General features: G+C 42.6%; 1 annotated feature.

The window, feature by feature from the left end:
- Positions 11,170–11,734: a transcriptional cis regulatory region, noted in NCBI's record as "candidate enhancer chr1.12967 targeted for multiplex CRISPR interference". NCBI's record gives its function as "positively regulates TRIM58 gene expression with high confidence in K562 cells {active_cell/tissue: K562}" and the evidence as "EXISTENCE:mutant phenotype evidence [ECO:0000015][PMID:30612741]".

Below are 12,192 nucleotides of genomic sequence, written 5' to 3' on the forward strand. Positions count from 1 at the left end.
TAAAATGGATAAAGTCAAGCTGTAACACAACCACCTTAAGCACATATTCTCAGGACCTCCTGGGACTGTCACAGATCATGGTCTTTAAATTTGGCTCAGAATAAACCTCTTCAAATATTTGTTACAGACTTTGGTTTTTATCAATACCCGTATCTATTCACTCTTCCAATCTCCTAAGTGACTATTTCACTTATGTTGCTCTCTTTTCGAACGTCTAGCACATCCCTGTTGCTCTGTACCCTCAGTAAGAGACTTATTTCACTGGAAGATCCTGAAATCCTTCAGTGGAAGTATCCACAAGCTCAGGCCACTAAATTCTGCCATCGACTACCTTTTGTTCCTGTGCACCTACTCCCTACACTTCCTCTGAGTAAACTATCTGTGTCCAAGTCTAAGGCAAATCCTTCCACCTGGGCATTAGGCGCCATAACCTCCTACACACTGGAAAGGTATTGCAGGTGACAGAGGCAAAACTATTCCTATCCAAAAGACTCAGGAGTGTTGAGCTGAAGAAGACGAACACACAGGGGACCTGCCCCTTCCTCTGCTTTCCTGAAGGCAGGACCAAGATTTACAAAGACAAAGGTCTTCCTGCCTCCCCTCTGCCTCTTCCCACCTGAAGACAGTCTCCTTTATAATGCTTGCTTCTCAGCTCAGACAGCAACGCCAGGGATCTCGGAACAGACTACTCTTCCTGTAAATTTTCCTTCCCAAATGTCTTGCTTTTGGGAAGCCTGAAGATGCCGTTTTTTTTGTTTTGTCACCGTAGAGGATGTATGGCTCCTTGCTAAGATACTATTTCAGCAAGGCCTCAAAGCCACTGCTTCCAAACCGTCGCAACAATCTAGGTGAGCCGTTTTCCTGAGAGAGCTGCTTTCTTTCTTGTGGATGGGCATGACATGCATAAATAAACATGCTTGTTTTTCTCTTGGTGATCTGCGTTTTGCTCATGAAAATCTGTCCTAGCAGTGAATTTAATGAAAGTCGAGAAGAGAAATTCTTTTTTTCTCTCCTTCACTGGGTATTCTCAGCTTCATGCCTGAATCACCCATGGTGCCCTTTCTGCCAAAGCATTTCCTCAGCATGTCAATGGGCTGGATTTCTCTCCCCCACTTTAAAAAGACAAAACAGAGAAGAATGTCTAGAGGCTTTGCTGTTCTCTGAATACTACCTGCACTTTTCTGCTCCCTTTTCCCGATGCTTTCCCTTCTGGAGGGCACTGTCCCTCCCTGCTGCTCCTCGTCCTCTGCCTTCTTGCTCGCTGGAATGCACTATGATCAGGATGTTTTTCTTGCCACTGCCCCAGACGGCGCAGCTGTGCTGGCATTGCCCTCCAACCACCCATCGCATTCCCGATCCTCTTCATCTGTGGCATCATCGCACCATTGATCCCTCCCTCTTCCTGGATCCACTGGTCACTTAATATCCACAACTACATACTCTCTTAGATCAGCGACAGCCCTGGTTTTTCACACTTGTACAGGGCTTCGTGTCTTTCAATCTACCTTCATTTCCTTCACAGTTTCAGGCAGTCTCTTGACTTGAATGCTGTCACTTTGCTCTCAGCCCTCAAATTTATGTCTCAAGCTTGAACAGAAGCGTCCTGTAAAAACTGCCCTATGTGAAATGCTCACTCATGACTAGTCAGCATTTGCAATTTAACGAGACCTAACTTAGCTGACCAGCACTCCTGACTACCCCAGCCTCCCTCAGTGCAGCCTTCCCATCTCCATCCTCCCACTTGCTCAGACCAGAAACTCTGAATTTGACTCTTGTTCCTTTCAAACCCAATGTCCAATTTTTCAGCAAAATTGACTGGCTCCACCTGAAAATGTATTCAGAACTGATCTGATCACCATTTACGACCACCATCGCTTGCTGCCTGGAAAAGGCACCACTATCTCTTATCTAGATTGTTGCAATAGTTTCGTTAAAGCACCTCCACGTCCAGCCTGCCCCACTCAAGAAAGCAGTCAAAGAGAATATTTTAAAACACGGGAGAGTTTTTGCAGTGAACACAGATGTACTGTGAATTGTTCCTGAAAAGGAAGAAAACATTGTGACCAGACAATCCACATATTCACCTCTGCAGTTTCCGCTTTGTCAGAATCGACGTTCTGTTGACTTGCTGTTTCTGTTCTTCATGTCTGTTGCAATTCACTATTTCTGCTCTGTTCTACGTTCTCCTCTCATTCTTGGCCAAGTCACTGGGAATATTATTTTCATGTAGCCAGGAAATAATTATATCAAGAGAAAATAATATCTTAACATTATTGCACATGCTAAAAAGAGTATAATACTGAATGTGTCATATATATTGAACTATATAGTACTTGATTTCTTCAATAAAGCTTAAGAAACAAAAACAAAAAACCAACCAACCAACAAACAAAAACAAAGCCTTGACAGGTTACCCAGCCCTGCTTGTTCTCTCCTCCCACAGCCTCACCAAACTCTTAGTCTACTTTCTTCTTGGTCCGTTCTGCACCCAGTGCTTCCGCCTCCTTTGTATTCTTCAAGTTACCTGAAACGTGCCTCGTTTTCTCCTTAGCATGTTTAGTTCCCTGCAACGTTGTCATTGAACAGCTTTGTATGGCTCATTTCTCATGTCCTTCCAGTCTGCTCAGATAACACCTTCTTCTTTAGGCCTGATCTAACTACTCTTCTGCCATTCTCAGAATTTATAAGAGTCAAGATAAAAGTGTTAAGTATATGTTGGTTTGAAGGCAAAATATTCCAGCAGTTCTGGCTTGAAAACACTGAACGAAAACTAAGAGATGTGAGAAAATTGTTATTTGATCCACATAGATTGATTTATTCACATAGATTATTTATTCAGCCGGGCACGGTGGCTCACGCCTGTAACCCCAGCACTTTGGGAGGCCGAGGCGGGTGGATCACTTGAGGTCAGGAATTCAAGACAAGCTTGGTCAAAATGGTAAAACCCTGTCTCTACTAAAAATACCAAATTTAGCCAGGCGTGGTAGGGGGCACCTGTAGTCCTAGCTACTCAGGAGGCTGAGGCAGAAGAATCACTTGAACACAGGAGGCGGAGGCTGCAATGAGCCGAGATCGCGTCACTGCACTCCAGCCTGGGTGATAGAGCGAGACTCCGTTTCAAATAATAATAATAATAATAATAATAATAATAATAATAATAATAAATACTCTTGGTAAAACAACAATGCTTTCTTGGAAAATGGTTCCTTTTTGCTTTGGCTTTCACTTAGTATTTTATAAGAATATGACCATGGTATTCAATTTAAAATGAACATCCACAGAAAAATAAGTTAAACATGGAGCGCAATGAGGGTCTCCTTGATGAGACCACAGTGAAAACAAAACAGCCCTTTATTACAATAGGCTAAGTTTACAGGACACTGGGCTCAGATCCTAGTTTTCTAAAGTACCTCCCACAATTCATATCCAAATGCACAAGGAAAATGAACTGTTGTATAATCATCGCTTCATGGTTAAATCCTTTCAGTAATGAAGAGCTCACCACCTTTTGAAATACTGATTGTTTTTTTTTTTAAGAGACAAGGTCTTGCTTCGTTGCCCTGGCTGGAGTGCAGTGGCACAATCATAGCTCACTGTAATCTCAAACTTATAGGCTCAAGTGTCCTCCTGCCAGGGTGGCTAGGACCACAGGTGTGTGCCACCATGACTGGTTAATTATATATCCACATATTTTTTGTAGAGGTAGAGGTCATGCTATATTGCCCAGGCTGGCCCTTAACTCCTGGCTCCAGTGATCCTCCTGCCTTGGCCTCCCAAAGTGCTAGGATTACAGGTGCTCTGGGCCTGATTACTTAAATACTGACTATTTCCAAGTGCTAGAATTACTTTAATTACATTGAGCTGGAAAAAAAAAATGCTTCCCAAAAGACTGGGTTGGCTTTAGCTCTAGGGCAACAAGGGTAACCTCAGATTTAACTTTGTAGCTTTCTTTGAAATAAAAATAATTACGAATGTTGTTGTTGGGGGCAGTGGCTCACGCCTGTAATCTCAGCCTTTTGGGAGGCCGAAGAGGGTGAATCACCTGAGGTCAGGAGTTTGAGACCATCATGGCCAACATGGTAAAACCCCGTCTCTACTAAAAACACAAAAATTAGCCAGACATGGTGGCGGATGCCTGTAATCCTAGCTCCCTGGGAGGCTGAGGCAGGAGAATCACTTGAACCCAGGAGGCAGAGGTTGCAGTGAGCCGAGATCATGCCATTGCACTCTAGCCTGGGCAACAGAGCAAAACTCTGTCTCAAAAAAAAAAAAAGAAAAAAAAGAATGTTGTTGTTCTTAGATGCAATCTTGCCCAGAGTAAACTAAATGGCCTTTTGACTTCTCGAGAACTCTTGATTAATTGTCTGTTATTACAGTTTTATAATTTAGGCAAGATCATTTACTGTTTCCATAAAGATAGAGAATCTGCAAAGGCTAAAATTGCCTTGATAATGATGAATAATTTATTGAAGTCGATGTATTTTTAGAATCTAACATACACAATCAAAACAAGGACATTTATGTTATTTGACAGTAAAATACACACCACGTTGATTTTCTTCTTCTCTGCATGAACTCCCCCTACCTGTCTGTTTTCCCGGCGTCCAGAGCGCTAAATGGCCCCTGCTCTAGGCAATGTCTACCCGTGCCCTCCTGTAACCCAAACTCTTACTGTGCTTTCATTGTGAGATCTGAAATTTGCCATCTTCTGCCGGTGTCTGACACTGGGTAAAGCCAACTTCTCCTTTCAATAGCCTTGGGTTTCTTGGGGACCTGGCCCTTCTGAGAAACTTGTTCCCCAGATATTATTCTATAATTTGACAATCAAGTCAGAAAACAATCAAATCAACCTTTTGAGATTCAACCCTGCCCACTGGGGCTTAGATGATGATAAAATATTTGAGACACATGGACACATGCAATTCTTCCATTCTTTTTGAAAAGGATTTATTTTTTTAATTTAACTTAAGATAGGTCCCAAAAATGTTGAACTAAAATCTGAATCAAACAAATGGAGATTTCTCTAAAATCCAGCAAGCAGACACTGAGTGGGTGAGTGAGCCGTTCTGACTGAAAACTTAACAGGTGCTTTTTGCTGAATGGCATTTCCTCTGCATACCTTAATTACAGACGTGGCTAAATGGAAAAAATTATGAACACAAATTAATTAATTCATTCAATTAAAGCAATCTGTAGCAAAGATCATTCTAAATTTAAATCTGTCAATTTAACAAAGAAAATGCAATATATAAATTGGTCTGAGAGGCTATTAGGCTTGAGTTTTAGAAGAGAAGTTAAAAAATAAAATATTTTCTTTTTTTTTTTTGAGATGAAGTCTCGCTCTGTCGCCCAGGCTGGAGTACAGTGGCATGATCTCAGCTCACTGCAACCTCTGCCTCCCGGGTTCAATTCTCCTGCCTCAGCCTCCTGAGTAGCTGGGATTACAGGCATGCGCCACCATGCCCAGCTAATTTTTTTGTATTTTCAGTAGAGATGGGGTTTCTCTATATTGGCCAGGCTGGTCTCAAACTCCTGACCTTGTGATCCTCCTGCCTCGGCCTCTCAAAGTGCTGGGATTACAGGCATGAGCCACCACTCCCGGCCTAAAAAAGAAAAGATTTTCAACCCATTCGTAATATAGCAGGATTTTTTTTTAATTCCAGTGTATAGAAGTCTAATTAAGAAGAGCAAATTTATTAATATTTCTAGTTAAATTTATATATTTTAGTCTAAGAGAAAATATTAAAGCGTTGAATAAATAAATGTATAAAAACAAAAAATCACATATTTTGTTTGGTTATTTATGATTCATTTATTCAACAAATACCTACCATGTGCCTGCAGTTCATTCAGGCATTATGATACAACAGTGAATCACACCATGTTATAGTCTGACAGGATTTATGATCTATTGATGTTTGATTTAACCAATATGCATTTTTTCAAGATAATATGATTCATATGTACAGTTTTTAGAAAATTTGGAGGAGGAAAGACAGTGCAGAAAAAAGTACATCTTTTTAAATAGTCATAGAACTGTCTTTCAGAGTTACAAACCTAATGTCTTGCCTTCCAAACTCTTTGTGTCCCACATATGGGGTAGAACAACTGGGTTACTACTTATACAGCCTGTATCTTGGCTTTCTTTGCAGCAAATTTTATATAGCCTGAATCTTGGCTATTTTGCAGCTACTTTTTCAGTTAATTCCTACCATAGCTCTTTTCTCCTCCTGCTAAATTAAAGGAAAAAAATGAATAAAGCACCCTTTATGGATTGTATAACAGTCCATTGTTTGGGGTGGTCTTTTCATAGCTTATCACAAATCTAGCTCTTGTAATATCTGCATGTTTGCAGAGACAGGCATGACCTAGCCAGCAAAGATTATGTATCCACTTTCTTTTTGTTTTTTTTTTGAGATGGAGTCTCACTCTGTCGCCCAGGCTGGAGTGAGGTGGCACAACCTTGGCTCACTGCAACCTCCGCCTCCCGGGTTCAGGCAATTCTCCTGCCTCGGCCTCCCGAGTAGCTGGGATTACAGGCTCCCGCCACAATGCCCGGTTTATTTTTGTATTTTTAGTAGAGATGGGGTTTCACTATGTTGGCCAGGCTGGTCTTGAACTCCTGACCTCGTGATCCACTCGTGTCGGCCTCCCAAAGTGCTGGGATTATAGGCGTGAGCCAAATAACAAAACTTCTGTGCTCATCAGCAACAGCTGAGAAAATGGAGATAAAAGGGTGCTCAGGCCTGCAAAACCATCAAGGCTTAGACTCGAGAGAGCACCCGGCAAAGGGTACCTGGAACATCAGCCATGTACACAACCATAACCAGAAGGTGTTAGGCCCTCAATGTCCAAGGACAATCTTGGGCAAGATGGTTGTTTTTAACTTAGAACAACTCTTTGGAATCCAATAATTGAATAAAACTGGTGAGTTAATTGAAACAACCAGCCACAAAAGGTAAATATCCAATCTAGAAATCAACAATTATTCCTTCTCAGTCAGCCACATCTTAAAGTTCTCAGATAATCTGTTGTTATCTTCACAAACCTCCTGGCACCTAATTGGGGAGAAAGTCCTCACTTCCGTATATCTCCAGGTAAAACACACAATGGAAATAAGGAAACTTCAGAAGAATTAGCCCTGCAGACAATTAAACAAAAAATATGTCCCCAAAGATTTGCATTTGCTTTTCTTTCTTCCATGTGGATTAATTGATTGGGAAGCCAAGGGTTTGGATGAGCATTTGTTGAGTGTGTATTAGATTCCAGACACTCCATGTATAATGCTTTATATAAGCCTTATAAAAGGACCCTTTTCGTCGCAGAAGGCATAGGCAGAAAGACTTACATAACGCACCAGGGTCAGAGGAAGGGTGCATTAGAGCACTATTGTCTGAAGGCAGGTCAGCTGCAGCTTCATTGTCTGAATTTCAGTTTAATGCACTGCTTTCAAGACAGTTACGGAAATTGCGGGGATTGTATTAGTGGAATCTAGTTCAAAGGGCATCTAAGGAAACGTGTAAATATTAGTTATGGGAATGATGCAAAGTTTCTGGTTCTGCTAAGTAATTCAGGAGCTAGTAAGAGGGACAAATGAGGGAGAGACCTGATACACGAATTGAAGAGAACTTCTACTGCTGAGTGGTAGACAAGGTCAGAGGGAGAGGGAGTTGACAAGGAAAGCCGTTCCGCAAGGGCCCTGGGAGAGTGTTGGAGATGGAGCCATGTGGATTGGTACTTCTTATCAGCATTTTCATCTAGGAAGATTTGTTCCTGCTTTTCTTCCTACCCTGCCATCAATTAATCAAATATATATGCTTCTTATCTTTCTTTAAATCTTATATAAAGCAGGAGAAAATACTCTTTTATAACTCATGGCATTTTGTCTTCTTGTGCTATGGAGTGTGTTTGCGGAAGATTCTTGAATTCACAGACATTCTTAACGCATGTCATATAACTATGAAGAGCCAATACGTATTTTTTGTATCAAACTGATTTACACAATAGGATTTACACAAACGGATTTAACACAATATGGAACACTGGATCCATATTAGCCCATTCATTGCAGATTCATTGCAGAAGTCTGTATATCTGGAAAAATGCCTCAGTGCCTTTCTCCTCCTCATTTTACACAGAATAGAGATAGCAAGGGGGTGTTGAGGGATCACTTCAAACTCATTGGAGAGCTTTTGTGGGCTTTCCTTGGAGAAGTGGCTAGAGAGGCCTACTATGGGTGTTTGTGCATTTATCAGCTGGAACAATGCGATCTATGCAAATACAGTTGGATCTGGGCTGCCTCCAAAGGCTATCAGAAAACCCCACAACTTTGCTGTCCCATTCCAACCACCCCAGCCACCCTAGAGCATCATTCGGACAGACAAAGCCTCTAATTCACAGTAATCCACAGGATGTCAATGCTGGCAACCACTGGGAAAGAGAAAAGTAGGGTCTATATACCACATCCAGTGGTGATAATTGTGAGTGTCATTGATATCCATTGCCTACCAATAAAGACTAAACTGTTTGGCATAGCATACAAAATTAGCCATGATCTCTTTCCCTGCATTGCCACCTGAGTGGGAGCCACATCCAGTCATACTAAAAATACAAAATCAGCCAGGCGTGATGGCATGTGTCTGTAATCCCAGCTACTCAGGAGGCTGAGGCAGGAGAATCGCTTGAACCCGGGAGGCAGAGGTTGCAGTGAGCCGAGGTCGTACCATTGCACTCCAGCCTGGGTGACAGAGCAAGACTCTCTCAAAAAAAAAAAAAAAAAAAAAAAAAGAAAAAAAGAAAAAAGAAAAAGAGAAAAAAATGCAGGGTTCAGTTGCGTGAATGAGGTCCTTTTAAAGCCAGAAGCAGGGAGGAAATGCTGAGTCAGCGGCTGCTAGTCTTGAGGGCTGTGCTTTTATTTTTGGCATTGTGAATTTGCCAACCCAATAGTCCTATAGACACACACACACACACACACACACACACACACACAGAGAGAGAGAGAGAGAGAGAGAGAGAGAGAGAGAGAGAGAATTTGACCCTTCTGGTCTTAGAGCTTGAAACTTACTTTTGTTTTATCTGAGTTCCTTCCTCAGGAAAGGACCACCAGCCCTCTTGAAAAGTAAAGTAACAAAGAACTGAAACTTACCGGATCACCCCAGGTCATCTCAACCAGTTAATGAGATGCCAGTCCAGTCCGCTTATTCAACATGATTGCTTCCTTACCCCTCCCTAGTTCCTCTTTTTCCACACAGTGTGCTATTTCTTCCCTGCCTCTATATAAGCCTCTAATTTTAGTCAGTCAGGGAGATGGATTTGAAACTGAGCTCCTATCTCCTCTGCTGCAGCACCTGATTAAAAGCTTCTTCTTTGGCAATAATCGTTGTCTCAGTGATTGGCTTTCTGTGTGGAGAGCAGCAGGACCTAGACCGAACTCCTGGTTTTTGGTAACAAATTGGGCTGATTTGGGGGCTATGGAGCTAGGAGATTGTGAATCCCCAAAGCTGAGGCAAAGGGTTTGGCCATGGAGAGCTGAGAAACTCTGTGAAAAGGGTTCAAAGTAGGGAAGAAAATATTGCTGTCCTGAAGAAATGGTTTCAGGAGCCCAAAGCCATGATACCAAAGAAATTACAAAAAAGAGCAGGGAGGAATAATGGTCAGATGACGGCAGATCCCATATTTTAAAGATGTCACAGAAGGCAGGACACAACTGAAGAGGAATATTAGAGAAGGAGGATGGTTGCAGGTGGTATTAGCTAAAAGATTTGCAACTCTGCAACCTGTAAATGAGTCACAGGGTGGAGTTAGCCTATAAATTAAGGAGTGGGGTGCATTAGAATTTGGTCGTATTGGCATAAACCAAGAGGTGCTTTATTTACGCCAAAAGAAAGCTCATGAGAAAATACAAATTTAAGTTAGAGTATTCCCATTAAACCAGAAACTGCCTGGCGAGGCACTCCACATAGCATTTGTAAATACAATGACATCTGGATATAATCCAGTCCACAACTTACCTGCATGGACGTGCTGTAAGGGAAATGTGTGTTTCTAAGAACAATGGTACCGATGTCATTCCTAGTCAACCAGTGTCAGAGACAAAACAGTTTAAGCTCAGCAACTCTAGGACCAGCAGGGGAAGAAGTGAGCTCGCCCACTCCGTCACACCCTACTGAAAACCACAGTGACCCCCAACGTCAGAAGCCAGGGGCCTTTCCTTAGGATCACAGGCACTAGGAAATCTGAATTTAAGTGAGCCTAGTTATCAACTGGCCCATATATTTGAGTAAATGGATTGTTTTACTGTGTCTCGTTATGCCTGCAAAATAGAAAAATGCTCCAGCATCTGCCAGAGTTATGGAGAGCCAGGGCAAGATCATATATGTAAAATGCAGAAAAACATGGATTTGACATTTGACATAATATAATCATCTTTGAACTTCCCTCTTTCATTAGCTCCTATGATAAACTGTCCTAATTCTGTTCATTTACTTATTAACTTGTTTAATCAGTTAGTATGTGTGGAGTGTCCATTTGTGCCAGTTACTCTTCAAGGTCCTGGGGATAGATAGAGCAGTGAACAAAATAGAAAAAAATCTCTCTTCCTAATGTAGCTTACCTTTTGACTCACCATCCTTCCATTCACTTCACTATTTCATTTCCTTTTCTTCAATTAAATATATTTGCTACATGGCCGGGCGAGGTGGCTCACACTTGTAATCCCAGCACTTTGGGAGGCCAAGGTGGGGAGATTGTTTGAACCCAGGAGTTTGAGACCAGCCTGGGCAACAGGGCGAAACTCTGTCTCTACAAAAAATACAAAAATTAGCTGGGCGTGGTGGCGGGCACCTGTAGTCGCAGGTACTTGGGAGGCTGAGGTGAGAAGATCACTTGAGCCTGAAAGGTAGAGGCTACAGTGAGTCAGGTTGTGGCACTACACTATAGCCTGGGCAGCAGAGCAAGACCCTGTCTCAATATATATACGTGTGTGTGTGTGTGTGTGTGTGTGTGTGTGTGTATTTCCAACATGCCAGGACCTATATTAAGTGTCTACTATCTATTAGCTCGTTTAATACTCTGAAAGGCCTTATATGAATGACACTAACACCTCTTCACTGCACGTCAGAAGAAATGCAGGGCAGAAACGCGGCACAGCTTGCCTCAAGCTTCTCAGCAAGTGCCACAGCCCTTAGTCCGGAGCCAGAGTCTGTTTTTCTTTGCTAAGCCTTCTGCTCTTTAGCTTTTTTCTCTAATGCCACATCTTTCGTGTTTTGCTAATACAGATCCATGTGTGTTCTCCAAGAATCTATTCGCTTTAATTGCGCACTTAACCTTTAGGCCTCAAGATCCTCTGCTCTGCCTGTCGCCAGAGATCCAGCCCAAGAGTTTGTCCTTATAATGAAGACCCACAAACCCCAGAGGATCCCCAAGGACCTGAGTCATCTGGCCCCGCCTCTTGCTGCAGCCTTATCTGCTGCCACCATATTCTGGCCCAGCTTGCCAGCCTGCCTGGCTTCTCACTGTCATCTGGGTATGTCTTGCTCCCACCTGCTGAAGTTTACCTTGTACCTTTCATGGCTTCTGGGGGCACGGCCTTGCGGAGCCCCCCTTCCCGCTGGCCAGCTTGTGTTCACCTATCAGAGGTTTGCTCAGAGACCTCAGGTGTCTGCCCCCGACCCTGCAGCCTCATTCAGAGTCCTCTGTTATATTCCTGCAGGACTGGTGAGCGACCTTCCTTGCAGTTATTGGTTTGTAATTATATGTTTGCATGATTTCATATCCACCTCTTCTAGTTGATCTTAAGGCTCCTGGAGAAATGGGGTCCCACCTCTTTTCCTTAACATGTGTATTTTCAGTACCCGGTGCAATGTCTGAGACTCCTGGCTACAAACAGACACAATGTGTGCTCAGGGACAGATTGATTTGCCACAGGTACACCCCACCATCACTTCAAACTCGACCATACTAAAGTTATTTTGCACAGATGCAGACACTGCCTCAGACTTGTCGACTTTCTGGACGACATTAGAGACTTTAATGTACTTTATCCTGATTCAGCCTTCCACTGGATGAAGTAACATACTCTGTCAAATCATTTTGCTCCTGTCTCAGCCTCCCCCATCTGACAGGTACACCACTGAGAGGCTAAGCTTGAATTATTCCTCTGATGAGTATCTCTATAGCTTTGTCATCTCCAAG

The sequence above is a fragment of the Homo sapiens genome, chromosome 1, assembly GCF_000001405.40.
Source record: "Homo sapiens chromosome 1, GRCh38.p14 Primary Assembly".
Lineage (NCBI taxonomy): Eukaryota > Metazoa > Chordata > Mammalia > Primates > Hominidae > Homo > Homo sapiens.